The sequence below is a fragment of the Homo sapiens genome, chromosome 7 (genome assembly GCF_000001405.40).
Source record: "Homo sapiens chromosome 7, GRCh38.p14 Primary Assembly".
Classification (NCBI taxonomy): Eukaryota; Metazoa; Chordata; class Mammalia; order Primates; family Hominidae; genus Homo; species Homo sapiens.
In genome coordinates, this window is record NC_000007.14 from 105,070,980 (window position 1) to 105,088,876 (window position 17,897).

A 17,897-nucleotide genomic window follows, 5' to 3' on the forward strand; every position below is an offset into this window, starting at 1 on the left:
GGTAGACAAATATATAAAGCAAGTTAAGTCTAACTCATCCCTGCTTGCTTATTATATGTAGATATGTATCTATATATTTGTATTTCCTTCCTTATTTAGGTAAGCAGTAGCATATTATAGAGTCTTCACATTTCTTTTCTCTTAAAAATATATGCTGAAGATCACAGTAGTATGTAGACATTGACTGATAGAGCTTCAATGTACTGTATCTTTTTTTGTACTCTATTCAACTAGTTGCCTTTGTATGGACACTAGAGTTGTTTTGGTTCTTTTGTTATTATAGATAGAAGTGAGATTGTTCAGTATAGTGATAAATGTATATATAAAATTTTGTTAGATTGTCAAATTTCCTTCCAGCAGGAGCTGTGCTGTTTTTTTGTTGTTGTTTTTTGTTTTTGTTTTTTTTGAAATGGAGTGTTGCTGTGTCACCAGGCTGCAGTGCAGTGGTACGATCTCGGCTCACTGCAACCTCCGCCTCCTGGGTTCAAGCCATTGTCATGCCTCAGCCTGCCGAGTAGCTGGACCACAGGCATGAGCCACCACACCCTGCTAATTTGTGTGTGTATGTGTGTGTGTATGTATGTATGTATGTATGTGTGTGTGTATATATATATATATATATATATATATTTTTTTTTTTTTTTTTTTTTTTTTTTTAAGTAGAGAACAGGGTTTCACCATCTTGGCCAGGATGGTCTCAATCTCCTGACCTCGTGATCTGCCTGCCTCGGCCTCCCAGAGTGCTGAGATTACAGGCGTGGGCCACCACGCCCGGCCTGCAGTTTTGAATTCCAAACAGTAATGGATAAGCATGCCCACTTTCCCAAGCCTCACAACAGAGTGTTTGACAGACTTGCATTTTTGCCAGTTTAATTAGGTGAGAAATGGTAATCTCAGCATAGTTATGGTGTGCATTTCTCTTACTTTGAGTGAGGTGTCTCTATGTGGTTTTGTTTCCCTTTGATAGTAGTCTTTTGCCAGATAATTTTTGATGGGGTAAATATCTGATGATGAATTCAGTAAAAGTTGGTTAAAAAGTTACCATTAGGAGGCCGGGCGCGGTGGCTCACACCTGTAATCCCAGCACTTTGGGGGAGGCCCAGGCGGGTGGATCATGAGGTCAGAAGATTGAGACCATCCTGGCTAACATGGTGAAACCCTGTCTCTACTAAAAATACAAAAACAAGAGTTAGCCAGGTGTGGTGGCGGGCGCCTGTCGTCCCAGCTACTTGGGAGGCTTAGGCGGCAGAATGGCATGAACCTGGGAGTTGGAGCTTGCAGTGAGCCAAGGTCGCACCACGGAACTCCAGCTTGGCAGCCTGGGCAACAGAGCGAGACTCCGTCTCAAAAAACAAAACAAAAAACAAAAAAACTTACCATTAGGAGGGCAGTTAGTTGAGAGAGATATGTTTATTATTCTGTGATAGCTAGGATAATTATCTGTGATGCTAGAATAAATATATTTCCTGGTAGACATTAAGGCAAGTCTGTAGAAATTCTAATAATCTAGAGCTCTTATTTTCCCACCTGAGAATAATATGTTATCTGACCTCTAAACTATATACAGTGAAAAAGTTGGGGGGGAATGTAAAAGAATTACTATGGATGATGTAGTTCATGGGTAGAGGTAGGGAGTGGGTAATGAAGTATTTCACTTAACTGTTAAATGCTCATGCCTATAATCCCAGCACTTTGGGAGGCCGAGGTGGGCAGATCACCTTAGGCCAGGAGTTTGAGACCAGCCTGACCAACATGGAGAAACCCCGTCTCTACTATAAATACAAAATTAGCCAGGTGTGGTAGCACATGCCCGGAACCCCAGCTACTTGGGAGGCTGAGGCAGGGAATCGCTTGAACCCAGGAGGCAGAGGTTGCAGTGAGCCAAGATTGCGCCATTGCACTCCAGCCTGGGCAATAAGAGCGAAACTCCATCTCAAAAAAAAAGCAGTATTTATTTCAAAAGTGAAAATAATTAAAGGCAATGGTAATAATGGAATAGATTCAATTCAGTGTCATACATTTGCTTTAAGAAATTTAATTTATGATTTTAATTACATGTTAACATTATGGGTTTTTTTTTTTCAGACTTTTTGCTTTAAATATTCTGTTTGAAAAAAATACTGGTTTCCTAAGTAAATTATTTTCTTGGCCATTCACTGTGGCTCACATCTGTGATCCCAGCTCTTTGGGAGGCAGGGGTGGGAGGATCACTTGATCCAGGAGTTCAAGACCAGCCTGGGTAACCCATCTCTACAAAAAATTAAAAAATTAGCCCGGCATGATGGTGCAGGCCTGTAGTCTCAGCTACTCAGGAGGCTGAGGCAGGAGGATCCCTTGAACCTGGAAGGTTGAGGCTGCAGCAAACTGTGATTGCATCACTGCACTCCAGCCTGGGTGATAGGGTGAGACCCTGTCTGGGGAAAAAAAAAAAAAAAAAAAATCAGAGTGAAATGGAGTCATCTATCTGGCATCTACTGCTACTATTAGATTGTATGTAAACTGTATTGCAAGGGATTTTGTATATATTTTATACTGTTGGTTTTTCACTGAGAACATTAAATAAATTAAAAAGTTTATCACATTTAAGACAGATCTGCTTCATGTATTTGATAAATAATTATGCTAATTTTTTAATGTAGGAATTTGGATAAAGAGAGGGCAGTGCTACTACAACGCCGGAAAAGGGAAAATATGTCAGGTAGGTAAAAAGGACCTACACTAAATTAAAATTCGTGTGATTGAGAGAATAAACGGTTCTCTCAACTTTTAGTTAAATGTAAATATTTTTAGTTAAATGTAAATACCTTGTTGATGAATGTTGATTGTACAGAGAGTATGCAATCTCTGGTATAGATTTCAAGTATTTTTTTTTTCACGTATTATAGAATAAATATGTACTTTGGGAAATAAAATGGAAATGAGAGGAAAATAAATAATTTAAATCAGCCATAATTTTCCTACACATAGCTAACCTGTTGGTTTAAAAAAGTAAAATATGTTTGTTCTTCAGAAAGATATGATCCATTAGTTTATCATGTAGAATAGTACATCTTTTATTTATAGGAACAGAATTTTCTAACTTCTGTGTAACATATGCCACAATTTTTATTTTATCTTAATCATGTTGATACCAGTACTCCTGGTTTTAAATAATCATAATTTATTCAACTATTCCTCTTTGATGGAGATTTGGATTGTTTTCATTATTTCTGCTTTGTTTTATTTTTGTTATTAAAAACAGTATCCTCAGCAAGACCCTCTTGCATAAGTCTTTTTGTACTTTTGCTGTTTTATCTTTGGCTAGATCTCTAATAATGAGATGGCTGGGTCAGAAGGTATGTACATATATAATTTTGCTAGATATGGCTGAATTGTCCTTTGTAGGGAATTTCAAATTTCCACTCGTAGTGTATGAGAGTGCTGTTTCCCACAGGCACACCACCAGAGTGTGTTATCAGGCTTTTGGATCCTTTCTAGTTTAATGTGTGAGAAATCATATTTGTGCTTTGCATGTAAATGTGTAAGTGAGGTGAGTGAACAAGTTAAAAAATGTGCTTATTTAGAAAGATGGAGACGACAATACTTTGTCATATGGAATGCTGTTTTATTTCATTGTTTAAAATAGAAGTATTAAATGTGCAATAATTTTTATTTTGTCTGAAGATGGTGATACCAGTGCAACTGAGAGTGGTGATGAGGTTCCTGTGGAATTATATACTGCATTTCAGCATACTCCAACATCAATTACTTTAACTGCTTCAAGAGTTTCCAAAGTTAATGATAAAAGAAGGAAAAAAAGCGGGGAGAAAGAACAACACATTTCAAAATGTAAAAAGGTACGTTTTTGCTTGTTTTTAGGTGAGTGGATAGGATAGCGGATAGGGAACTGAATTTTATAGGAGAGGCAGGAGAGTGAGAATAATCGATGATAGCTAAAAAGGATCTAGCAGAAGTTTTTTATTTTTAAACAATTAAACTTACTTGAACATTTTAACGTGTTTTAAAGATTGAAGCAGATTAGAGAAGAAACTTTGCAAACTGCTTTGAAATCATTTAATGAGATTAGTCACTATAATGCAGAAGCAAAAATAAAATAGAAAGCCTTCATAGTTTTCTGTACTACCAGGATTGTATTCCTTTCACTTGTCTGTCTGACATAATCCACTTAGCTTTTCTTCCCCATGTTTTACATAACGGTTCTTTGCCTCCTTTTTTTTTTTTTTTTAAACCTTGCTCTCTTGTAACGTATTGTCTACACACAAATTTATTTATTTGGATCTATATTGCTAGCTGTAGGTTTGTATTTGTTAGTCACTCTAAATGGAGTTCACACTTTTTAGGGGGTTGAGGGGGATAGGAATTAAGTCTTAAATACATCCTTCAGATCTGGCAGATGAGTGGGCTCTCGATACATGTTTATTGAGTAAATACAGCTCTGTTTACCACAGTGCATATTACTTAAGGCCCATTATGGGCTCAAATATTACTTGCTAGTTGCTTAGAGAATTAAAGTAATATCATTATTTTACTCCCTCCCAAAACATGTCTTATCACTTCAACAAAATTATATGTCTAACACCCTCCCAATTTTTATCAGAAATATTTTTCCACTGTTGTAATATTGAACACAGAGAATATTTGGAAATTTTTGTCTTTGTATTATATTATATACAGATTTTTATATTCTATATAGTCTATATACTTTTTTTTTTTTAAAGACAGGATCTTGCTATGTTGCCCAGGCTGGAGTGCAGTGGGTATTCATAGACTGGCATGGTGCACTATGGCCTCCAACTCCTGGGCTCCAGTTGATCCTCCTGCCTCAGTCTCCTGAGTAGCTGGGACGACAGGTGCCCGCCACCACTCTCAACCACATTCTGTTTTTATTAGAAAAGTATTTTAATAGATGCCTTTATTAAACATTCTCCTAGTGTCAGCTTTCTTGGTTACCAAATTTTTTGTTATGACACTTCAGTTAAAAGTTTCAATGAACCAATTAATTCTTAAATATTAATTATGTCCAGTTTTTTAGGAAACTAACTAGAATTCCATGTTTATTTTAGGCATTTCGTGAAGGATCTAGGAAGTCATCAAGAGTTAAGGTAAATACATTAATTTTAAGGTGTTGTTATCAACTGTCATTTATTCAGGAGCTACATGCTTGCTTGACCATATCTTTACTTAATGCTCTGTTTATTGTGTGTCATGTCTTTGCCTATTATCTTTACCAGGAGTGGGACCTTAGTTCTAATTGGAGTAATATACTACTCTTGTAGTTAACACTGTTAAAATATTAATCAAAAGGGGGAGGTATATAAGCAATTTCTAATTTTATAATTTTGGGCAATTTGAATTTCCTTTATTACTATAATCCATGTCTCTGATGCCAGTTAGTATTACTATACTGTACTTAGGAATGCAGAATCACATTTGGAACTTGAAAATTTGCACTTTTGCATAGTTGGGATTCTAGAGAGTTAGTCAAGTCAGTTGTCATACTATAAATTCACCATAGAACAACCATATCAATACAAACCAGTCAGAATGATCGATGGTAGCTAAAAAGTATCTTGAATTAATTAATGTATGTCCTCACTTTTTTAGATGCTAAAATTGCTGAGAGAAGCGAGGCTCCTCGCCTCTGTCTGACCCCAAAACATAAGTTTGTCTGGGGTCACAGAGGTCAGCTGTATGCTGTTACTATAGTTTTCTGGCTTAGGTAGAAAAGGATAACAAATTTCTAAAATTGTCACATTAAATAGGATGTGGGGAGCATGTTACAGTGTATCTTTTGTCCCTGTGGTATTTATTATTCCACATTTCTGGAAAAGAAACCGTTAAACAGCAGTTTCTAGTTTATATTATGTTCTTTTGTATAGATTGCCGTTAATTTTGTGTGTGTGTGTGTGTGTGTGTGTGTGTGTGTGTGTGTGTGTGTGTAAGTCCGTAAGTCCAGATACTAAAGCTCAGTTTATGATTTTAGGGTTCAGCTCCAGAGATTGATCCTTCATCTGATGGTTCAAATTTTGGATGGGAGACAAAGATCAAAGCATGGATGGATCGATATGAAGAAGCAAATAACAACCAGTACAGTGAGGGTGTTCAGAGGGAGGCACAAAGAATAGCTCTGAGATTAGGCAATGGAAATGACAAAAAAGAGATGAATAAATCCGATTTGAATACCAACAATTTGCTCTTCAAACCTCCTGTAGAGGTAAATACATCATTTGTCCAAAAATTGTAAAGCAGTTTTATATTGTGAATTTTTAGTTAAACTGAAAACAAGCAAGTTTATTTAATCTCAACATTTACTCTGATTTTAGAGCCATATACAAAAGAATAAGAAAATTCTTAAATCTGCAAAAGATTTGCCTCCTGATGCACTTATCATTGAATACAGAGGGAAGTTTATGCTGAGAGAACAGTTTGAAGCAAATGGGTATTTCTTTAAAAGGTATATTCATTTATTTTCCCATGTTCATTTTCTGTAGGTAAATATTGAACTTTTGGCTGTTTTACCTAGATGTTGTGATTATATGTACTTTTTTTCCTACATGATCATTTCAGTATTTAAAGCTGTAGTGTGGTTGAACAGTGACTGATGATAATTTTTGAACTACGATAAACTAAAACAACATAAAAAAATGCAAAGATATATTCCGGTCTCTTGCTCATGTCTGTCTTGCTGAAAATCCTAAAACAATCTACTTCAAAGATTAACCAACAGCAATATAGGTTGGATATAGAAGGATATCAGTCAGGAATTCTGATTGATTGAGATTACAAGGAACCCTTTCCATCTGGGACTCATGATAATTCCTCATAACGTAATAGCCGGAATGGAGAAAGACCATGGTAACCATAGGAGAAACCCCTTCCTCTTTATTAGACAGTGTTAGATTGGGTCCTACATTATTGCCACCACTTTCAACACCCACTTTGTTGGTATTGGAATGGTATTGGAGGTCTCTTCTTTGGTTTGAGATTTGTATGCAGAATTAATATGACCCTTTGATAGGCGTTGCTTCCCTGTAGTCTAGAAGTATGTTCATATCTGTAGGAGAACATTCCTAGTCTGTGTCCTACAATTATCAAAAACATTTATTGTTTATAACTTGAATATTTACTTAAGATATGAAAGATACACAGCAATTTCTCCCTATTATGTAGCAGATTTGATCTGAAACGGTATAAGACAGATACTTTTAAATGCACCAGGAAATGTGAACTCTAAAGACATCAAATTAATCTTGTGAATGCAGTAGTCACTCTCTTTTTATCTTTCTTTGTAAATTGGAATTTCTACCTTCCATTAATTGCCTTTGATTTAGGTGAGGTTATGGGGCAGGTAAAAATCTCATTAGCATAAACTAGCATAAGATAAGAGTGAATTGTGGAGTCAGACTGCCTATATTCAAATCTTGGCTTCACTATGTCTTTTAGAAGTTTCTTAGACTCTGTGTTCTTAAGTTTCTTCATCACTTTGCCTCTGAAGAGTAACAGATTATTGTCCTAAAATGTTGACTTTTGTTTGTTTGTTTGTTTTTGAGACAGTCTCGCTCTATCAGTGAGGCATGATCATGGCTCACTGCAGCCTTGATGTCCTGGGCTCAGGTGATCCTCCCACCTCAGCTTCCCAGGTAGCTGGGACTACAGGCACATGCTACCATGCCTGGCCTTTTTTTTTTTTTTTTTTTTTTTTTTTTTTTGTAAATACGGAGTGTCGCCATGTTGCCCAGGTTGGTCTTGATCTCCTGGACTCAAGCAATCCACCTGCCTCGGCCTCCCAAAGTGCTGGAATTACAGGTGTGAACCAGCATGCCCGGCCTAAAATGTTAATAGCTTATAATGTTTCTTTCTTTGTAGACCATACCCTTTTGTGTTATTCTACTCTAAATTTCATGGGCTAGAAATGTGTGTTGATGCAAGGACTTTTGGGAATGAGGCTCGATTCATCAGGCGGTCTTGTACACCCAATGCAGAGGTAAGCTTATAGAAATTTTTTGGGGAGATGTGGGTGCTGGGGGTGTGTTGGAATCTGAGCAATAAGCACAAAACTCAGGTCACTGACCTAAGACACTTTCCACCTGTTGGTGCATTTTATACTGCCCAGCCTGTTTTTTTGTGAAAATTTATGTGATAACTGGCTATGAAGTCTTTTTTTTTTTTTTTTGAGACGGAGTTTCACTCTTGTTGCCCAGGCTGGAATACAATGGCACGATCTCAGCTCATGTAACCTCCGTCTTCCGGGCTCAAGTGATTCTCATGCCTCAGCCTCCCGAATAGGTGGGATTACAGGCACGCACCACCATGCCCGGCTATTTTTTTGCATTTTTAGTAGGGACGGGGTTTCACCATTTTGACCAGGCTGGTCTCGAACTCCGGACCTCAGGTGATTTGCCCATCTCAGCCTCCCAAAATGCTGGGATTACGAGTGTAAGCCACCATGCCTGGCCGCTATGAAGTCTTAAAAATTACTTTGCACCTTGAAGAAATGATGATGCTCCTTATAAGAGGAAATATTGGACTTCCTTTTTTTTTTTTTTTTTTTTTTTTTTTTTTGAGGCAGTGTCTCACTGTCTCCCAGGCTGGAGTGTGGTGTCATGAGCACAGCTCACTACAGCCTCCGTGACCTCTCATGCTCAAGTGATCCTCCTGTCTCAGCTTTCTGAGTAGGTGGGACTGCAGGCGTGTGCAACCATGCCCAGCTAATTTTTTAAATTTTTGCAGAGATGGAGTCTCATTTTGCTGCCCAGGCTGGTCTCCAACTCCTGGGCCAAGTGATCCTTCTGCCTTAGCCTCCCAAAGGGCTGGGATTACAGGCATGAGCCTGCCCGGACTTTTTAAATCATTATTATTATTATTATTATTATTATTTTTGAGGCAGGGTCTTGCCTAGGCTGGAGTGCAGAGGTGCAATCATGGCTCACTGGAGCCTCAACTTCCTGGGCCTTTAGGAGGTAAAGTTATCTTCTCACCTCAGACTTCTGAGTAGCTGGGACCACAGGTGCGTGCCACCATGCCCAACTAATGATTCTTTAATTTTTTGTAGAGTTGGGTTCTCCCTATGTTGTCCAGACTGGTCTGGAGCTCCTGTGTTCAAGCAATCCTCCTGCCTCGGCCTCCCTAAATGCTAGGATTACAGGCATGAGCCACCAGGTCCAGCCTAATACTGGACGACTTTCCTTCTATCTTGGAAGCTCTATTTATGGCTCAATACATGCGATGATTTAAGTTAGATGACAAAGCTAAAATCTAAAGTAGATTTTGTATGTTCTACTGTAAAATTTTTAATAATGTTATATTTTAGTGTGGAGTAGAAAATCGTGTTGGTTTTGTTTTTTACATGTCAAAATGAAGCTTTTTAGTTTTGTAATTATATAATGTTGCAGCCAAGAATGTAGGTGTTTTTTTTTTTTCCTCTCTTTTCTTTTTTTAAAAGACAGGATCTTGCCATGTTGCCCAGGCTGGCCTGGAACTCCTGGGCTCAAGTGTTTGTTCTGCTTCAGCCGCCAGAGTAGCTGGGATTATAGGCATGCGCTGCTGCACCCAGCTAAGAGTACAGATTTTGGAACCAGACTTAAATTTATTTCTTCTCTGTGACTTACTAGCTTTTTAACCTCAGTTTTATCTGTAAAAAGGTGATATGAAGACTGAAGGAGTTAATACATATAAAGTATATAGAATAGTGTCTTGTCATAGAAAAGTAGCGTTTGCTCAACCATTATTGCACTCATCAAACCTAAGAAGGCCAGGCACAGTGGCTCACACCTGTAATCCCAGCACTTTGGGAGGCCAAAGTGGGTGGATCACCTGAGGTCAGGAGTTCAAGACCAGCCTGACCAACATGGTGAAACCCCATCCCTACTAAAAATTAGCCAGGTGTGGTGGCACGCACCTGTAGTCCCAGCTACTTGGGAGGCTGAGACAGGAGAATCACTTGAATCTGAGAGGTTGGGGTTGCAGTGAGCCAAGATTGCATCATTGCACTCCAGCCTGGATGGCAGAGTGAGACTCTGTCTCAAAACAACAACAGCAACAACAAAAAACCCTAAGATGCCACCAGTTATAAGACTCCTGATTTCAGAGATGCTAAAAGGTGAAAAAAAAGAATTGATGAGGCTGGGTGCGGTGGCTCACGCCTGTAATCCCAGCACTTGGGGAGGCCGAGGCCGGCACATCATGAGGTCAGGAGATTGAGACCATCCTGGCTAACACTGTGAAAACTCGTCTCTACTAAAAATACAAAAAAAAATAAGCCGGGCATGGTGGCAGGTGCCTGTAGTTCCAGCTACTCGGGAGGCTGAGGCAGGAGAATGGCGTGAACCTGGGAGGCGGAGCTTGCAGTGAGCCGAGATCGCACCACTGCACTCCAGCCTGGGCGAAAGTGTGAGACTCGTCTCAAAAAAATAAAAATAAGAAGAATTGATGAAATATAGTATTTTTATTATTATTATTATTATTATTATTATTTTGATGCCACATTGTGGGCTCTAGGGGTTGGGGTGGCAGTGGATAGCAGTATATGATTGAAAAACCTTCCCAGTTGATAACCACCAATAGATAGTTATAAGCCTTGTCATTAATGACATATTTTCCAGGTTGTGTTTGTGAAATAATTTGAAAAGAATAATTTTCAAAATTGTAAGCTGATGCTTCTGAAGGCAGAAAGTAATTTATGGTAATGTACAATTATTTTAACTTTTAGGTGAGGCATGAAATTCAAGATGGAACCATACATCTTTATATTTATTCTATACACAGTATTCCAAAGGGAACTGAAATTACTATTGCCTTTGATTTTGACTATGGAAATTGGTGAGTTCAAGTCTATAAATGTAATCTGTTGTTTGAAAATAGTTCCATAATGTCCCTGTAATAATTTAGGTATTGTCATTACTTTTATAGCTTTTTATTTTTATCTATCATGAATCAGTTAAAAGTACTTGAAAACCAGAAGTTTAGTATCAGCCTCTATTACAGCATTGCTACTTTTCATTTCTACATTTTCCTTAATTATTATTGTAATGTAAATGTTCACAGTAATTATAACAAGTAACCCTAATTCAGCCATACAACACTGACCTTGTTTATGTGAGAATTTTTTTCTTCTTCTAGGGGATATAATTTTAGTCATACAGTTTATTTGGTTAATCAGTATGAATGAATAATTTGTCTTTTGCCCCTCAAAACAAAAGAAAATTTTCTTTGCAGTATAAATTAAAAGGGTTTGTTGGAGATCCTACAAAGAAACTCTAAGAACTATTTTTCTGAAATACTAGTAAAAAACTAATGATAAATCTCAGTACAGTTGGCCCTTGCACAATGCGGGGTTGGAGCACCAACTGCCTGCACAGTCCACAATCTGCGTATACATTTTGACTCCCCAGAAACTTTACTAATAGCCTACGGTTGACTGGAAGTGTTACCAATGACAATTAACACATATTCTGTATGTCTTATACTGTATTCTTACAATAAAGTAAGCTGGAGAAAAGAAAATGTTTTTAAGAAAATCATAAGGAAGATACAATATATTTACTGTTCATTAAGTGGAAGTGGATTATCGTAAAGGTCTTCATCCTCATCTTCATGTTGAGTAGGCTGAGGAGGAAGGGTGGGGGTTGCTCTTGCTGTCTCAGGGGTGACAGAGGGAGAAGGGGTAGTAGAAGGGGAGGCAGGAGAGGGAAGCACATATGGTGTAACTTTATGAAAACATATTAGTAATTTCTGCCTGGCTTTTTTGCTTTCTCATTTCTCTAAAAATGTTTCTATATGGTGCCAGTCTTCCGTCATTTGCTTTAGCTTCAGTGCCCATATCATAGAAGAGTCCATATCATAAAAAAGTAAAAAATCAGTCTTGAAAACAATGGAGCCCTTCTGCCAGATTGTCTAATGTAAATTTGTTTTTTGGCACTGCTTTTTCTACATCTTCTTTCTCATCATCTGGCACTGGTTTGGAAGCAATCATCTCCATTAGGCATCTTCTGTTAATTTCTCTGGTGTGGTGTCTATTAGCTCTTGAATTTCTCTGAGATCCATATCTGTATTCTTCCTTCATCCCCACCTTTTTTTGTTATATCCATGATCTCTTTCATGATTTTTCTGATTGGCTCTGATGTAAATCCTGTGAAGTCATGCACAACATCTGGACACAGTTCACTCCAGCAGGAATTTATTGTTTTGGGCATGATGGCTTTCACAGCTTTTTCTATAATGATGGCATCTTCGATGGTATAATCCTTCCAGACTTTCATGATCTTCTCTTTCAGGGTTCTGTTCCATAGTGTTGACATTCTTTTCCATAGAGTACTGTGTGTAATGAGCCTTAAAGGCCATTATCACTCCTTGATTTAGAGGCTGAATTAGAGACACTTTGATGCCCTCAGTGTTGAACTCATAGGGTTCTGGGTGGCCAGGGGCATTGCCCAGTATCAAAAGACATTTAAAAGGCAATCCCTTCCTAGCTACCTGTTGTCTGACTTGAGGGACAAAGCATCAATGGTACCAATCCAGAAAAAGGGTTCTCCTCCAGGTTTTCTTGTTATACAACCAAAAGACTGGCAGCTTCCGTTTGTTTTCCCTTCAAGGCTTGGGTTTAGCAGCTTTATAGATAAGGGCAGTCCTGATCATAAACCCAAATGCATTTGCACAAAACAGTAGAGTTAATCTGTCCCTTCCTGCCTTAAATCCTGGTGCTTCCTTCTCTTCCTTACTAATAAATGTCTTTTTATGACTTTCCCCCCCCAGAATAGGACATTTGTGTCTGCATTAAAAGACTTTTCAGGCAGATACTCTTTCTCCTCAGTGATTTTCTTAATGGTGTCTGAGAACTCATCTGCTGCCTCTTATTCAGCAGAAGTGGCTTTACCTGTTAAGCTAGACCTCTTTTTAAAATCATCAAACCATACATTACTGGCATTAAATGCTCCAATTTTAGGTCTTTCATATTCCTTTTGTTTTATGTTATCATTTAATGACTTCACTTTTTCTAGAAACATATTAGGATCTATAGCTATGTCTTTCTTATATAGCACGCATGCACCCACATAAAAGCTTCATTTGCAATACAAGATAAAAAGGTATATTGCAAAAAGTGCATGGTTTTCACATTCTGCGGCCCAGCTGCGGTGATGGCTCCACAAATTTCCTTTTATTATTATTTTTTACAATGGTACTTATGCTGGATTCATTTATCTTGAGATGGTGGAGAACTACAACTGCACACCTCAATCTACCATACATCTTTAGCAATTCAACTTCTTCTTGCAATGTGATAACTTCTTTGCTTCTCTGGAGCACTTCCAGCATCACTAGTGGCACTTTGTATAGGTCACATAGGTGTTACTCAAAATTTACTGTATTGACCAGGTGCGGTGGCTCACACCTGTAATCCCAGCACTTGGGAGGCCAAGGCGGGCGGATTACTTGAGGCCAGGAGTTCAAGACCAGCCTGGCAAACATGGTGAAACCCCATCTCTACTAAAAATAAAAAAAATTATCCGGGCGTGGTGGCGGGCCCCTGTAATCCCAGCTACTCGGGAGGCTGAGGCAGAAGAATTGCTTGAACCTGGGAAGTGGAGGTTGCAGTGAGCCAAGATCGGACCACTGCACTCCAGCCTGAGTGACAGAGCAAGACTCTGTCTCAAGAAAAAAAAAAAAATTACTGTATTGCACTGAAGACTATGAAGAATTCATGAGAACCACAAGAGATCACTTTTTATTGCCATACACAATTTACTGAGAGATGAACTGCTCCTGGGCATGTGTCACATGGCATTTTACATAGACACTCCCAACACTTGAGGCACCACAATAGCAACAGGAGGTGGCTACAAAGTTATTATAGTAGTACAGAATGTACTACAGTTAGTTTTAAATAGTTATGATTTAATAATATGTCTTTACATGACTGGAGTGTGAATGGCACCATGTAAGGTCTGTATGTGTGTGCATAGGTTTTGATAAATTTTAACTTTTTATAATTTGTGTATATTTTATGGTAATAAATGATAGAATAGACTACTATCTACATGCATATGCATTCTTGACATAACTTTTTCTTTTTTTTTTAATATTTCTAGGCTATATAGTTCGTCTGTTTTTTCAAATTGTTGCAATTGTTGCAAATTTTCAAACATGTTTCCAATATATGTATTGAAAAAAATCCATGTATAACTATAATGTGCACAGTTCAAACTTGTGTTGTTCAAGGGTCAGCAGTATGGAAACTTGTTTCAGTTTTTAAAAATTTAATAGAAAAATGTAAACAATAATACAAACACCCAGCCAGGTGCAGTGGCTCATGCCTGTAATCCAGGCACACTGGGAGGCTGAGGCGGGTGGATCACCTGAGGTCAGGGGTTCAAAACCAGCTTGGCCAACATGGCGAAACCCCGTCTCTACTAAAAATACAAAATTAGCCGGGCATGGTGGCACATGCCTGTAATCCCAGCTACTTGGGAGGCTGAGTCAGGAGAATCGCTTGAACCTGGGAGATGGAGGTTGCAGTGAGCTGAGATTGTGCCACTACACTCCAGCCTGGGCAACAATAGCAAAACATCTCAAAAATAAAATAAAATAATAATACAAACACCCATGTACTTCTCAAATTAAGAAATTAAAACATTATCCATTGAAGCCCCTTAACGTTTAGCAGCCACATTGCATCTGTCTTCCTTCCTTCACTAACTGCTATCTTTAATTTGATTTTTTTTTTTTGGAGACGGAGTCTCGCTCTGTCGCCTAGGATGGAGTGTGGTGGCACAATTTCAGCTCACTGCAGGCTCCGCTTCCCAGGTTCATGCCATTCTCCCGCCTCGGAGAGTATAGGCACCCGCCACCATGCCTGACTAATTTTGTTTTTGTATTTTTAGTAGAGATGGGGTTTCACCGTGTTAGCCAGGATGGTCTCCATCCCCTGACCTCATGGTCCGCCCGCCTCGGCCTCCCAAAGTGTTGAGATTACAGGCATGAGCCACCACCACCGGCCCTTTAATTTGATTTCTTTAACATTTTACTATGTCTGTATTTGTTGGCAAATATTATCTAGAATTTTGTATATTTTTAAACTTTTATGTAAATTGTGACTTGCTGTATTCTTTAGCATTTTTTTCACATTTATTACGTGAGATTAACCTGCATTGTGTGTACCTATACTTCATTTATTTTCACTGCCTATGGTATTTATCCATTTCACTATTGACCTTTATATTGACAAAAGAATGCTCCTAGGGCTTTCTGAACATGTCTGCATGTGTGTACATGTCCTCTCCATGGTAGGAACATAGTATGTACATGTTCTCTCCATGGTAGGGACATAGGAGTGGAATTGCTGGGTTGTAGAATGCGCACAGCATGAGTTTTTGCCAGATGTGAGTGAATGTCTAAGAAGCTTGTACCAGTTTCCTAAGTAATTTATTGCCTTGCTGTACTTCTTTACTCCTAAGACTTTAAAAATATATGGTGGTTGCTATGACTCACGGCTGTAATCCCAGCACTGTGGGAGGCCATGGTGGGCGGATCACTTGAGGTCAGGAGATCGAGACCAGCCTGGCCAACATGATGAAACTCCATCTCTACTAAAAATACAAAAATTAGCCAGGTGTGGTGGCGCACATCTGTAATCCCAGCTACTCAGGAGGCTGAGACAGGAGAATCACTTGAACCTGGGAGGTGGAGGTTGCAGTGAGCCAATATTGCGCCACTGCACTCCAGCCTGGGTGACAGAGCGAGACTCCATCTCAAAAAATAAAAAAATATATAAATAAAATAAATTAAAAATATAAATATATATAAAATAAATATAATATATAAAAATATGATTATATATAAAATATATATACCACTCCACATGAGCTAGCATATATAGTATATATAATATATATTAGCATATATATGCTATATATTATAGCATATATATTATATATTATATAGCATATATATGCTACATATAAGTATATATAGTATGCTATATGTAATATTAGCATATATACTATATATTATACGCTGTATATGCTATTTGTTGGCAAATATATAGCATATAATATAATATATGGCATGTATAATATATATAGCATATATAATATATAATACATAATATATAGCGTATGTAATATACATTATAGCATATGTGCTATGTATGTGCTAATGTATATTATATATGCTAGGTCATGCGGACTGGTATATAATAAAATATATATTAGCATATACATGCTATATATATGCTTATATAATATATATTATATAAGCATATATATAAAGAGATACCATTCAACATGAGCATATATATAATATATAAATATGATATAATATATATAATATATAAATATAAATATAGCATATATTACATATATGCTAGCTCATGTTGAATGGCATCTCTTTATATTAATATTTTTATTTACCATTTTCCTTGATTATTCATGAATGCAGAGGTCTTTTTCTTTTTTTTTGTTTTTTTTTTGAGATGGAGTCTTGCTCTGTCACCCAGGCTGGAGTGCAGTGGCGCGATCTCGGCTCACTGCAACCTCCGCCTCCTGTGTTCAAGCAATTCTCCTGCTTCAGCCTCCTGAGTAGCTGGGACTGCAGGCGCACACTGCCACGCCTAGCTAATTTTTTGTGTTTTAGTAGAGACGGGGTTTCACCGTGTTGCCCAGGCTGGTCTCCAACTCCCGAGCTCAGGCAATCCACCTGCCTCGGCCTCCCAAAGTGCTGGGATTACAAGCGTGAATTACCACGCCCAGCCTCCCAGAGGTCTTTTTCTGTGTTGTCATTTGGATTTCTCTCTTGTGAATTGCCTGATCATATCATCTGTCCATCTTTCTTTTGGGTAGCTGTTTTCTTGCTTTTTTTTTTTTTTTTTTCCCAGAAGTTCTTTATATATTCTGTAGTCTTTTGGGTTATAAGCAATTCGATTCAGTTCCTCTTATTCTATATATTTTTAAACTTTGTGTGATACTCTTTTTAAATGAAGTTTTTAAAATGTTCATTATGTTTTCTCTTGGTGAAATCCCTTTTCCTTTAGTATCCCTTTCTACTGATTATTGCAGTCAGATTTATCATATCATTTTAGTCCTTTCTCCTCTCGAAGGTAGGAGATTTAGCATAGTTCTTTGCTCAGTGCTTTGTGGGATTACATATCCCATAGAGGTTAAGAATGTAATCTGTCTGGTTTCAAATCCCGGCTTGGTCACTGACTACGTAACCTTGGACCAATTTCTTCATCACTTTGTGCTGCATTACCTCACGTATATGAGAAGAAGAATAATACTCACCTAAAGTGCTTAATAAACAAAAGCTGTTGCCATCATTATTGTTTGTAGTTCTCTTGTCCTAAAATCAAACATCTAGAACGAGTTTCAAGCTAGTATCTGTTAATACCTGATTTGGGAGGCGGGAGGTAGGACCATAAATGTTTGAATTCTCTCCCTGGTTCACAGAATTAGGAAGTTGGATTTGAATCTTTCTAGCAGTTTTAAAAGTAAATGAGTTAGGAATATTAGACACTTAATAAGTAAATTGTTCTTATTGTGAACAAACATTCAACTACTTAAAACATGCAAAGTGGGAGATTTGTATTATTGTTTTAACTGAGGTTTGGGCATTTGGCCTGTATCATAGAGATGAACTACATCTTAGCAGCTGTGGTAAAGATAAAGTGGTCAGAGTTGAGAAATATTGAAATGAAAAGTACATGCGCCTGAGAGTCATACAGACCTGGATCTAAATGCCGTCCTTTCCACTTACTAACTGTGTAACATTGGACAAGATGCTAATCCTCAGTGAGTTTTAATCTCACTTGTAAAATGGGGGCAATATCCTTACTGTGAAGATGAGACAGAGTGCAGTTATTTCTCAGGCTTCCATTTGAAAGAGGGAACACTTAGTATGGTGAAAAG

General features: G+C 37.9%; 1 protein-coding gene across 7 annotated transcripts in view; it reads left to right on the plus strand.

Moving 5' to 3' along the window:
* Nucleotides 1-17,897, plus strand: part of KMT2E (lysine methyltransferase 2E (inactive)) — a 100,815-nt gene that overhangs the window by 56,775 nt on the left and 26,143 nt on the right. For all 7 annotated transcript variants that reach the window (XM_011516400.3, NM_182931.3, XM_005250493.2 and 4 more), the window contains 7 exons: nucleotides 2,640-2,698; nucleotides 3,664-3,836; nucleotides 5,064-5,102; nucleotides 5,984-6,214; nucleotides 6,324-6,454; nucleotides 7,867-7,984; nucleotides 10,709-10,818. In XM_011516400.3, coding sequence (XP_011514702.1) covers nucleotides 2,640-2,698; nucleotides 3,664-3,836; nucleotides 5,064-5,102; nucleotides 5,984-6,214; nucleotides 6,324-6,454; nucleotides 7,867-7,984; nucleotides 10,709-10,818 — 861 coding nt within the window. The remainder of the gene's footprint in view (nucleotides 1-2,639; nucleotides 2,699-3,663; nucleotides 3,837-5,063; nucleotides 5,103-5,983; nucleotides 6,215-6,323; nucleotides 6,455-7,866; nucleotides 7,985-10,708; nucleotides 10,819-17,897) is intronic.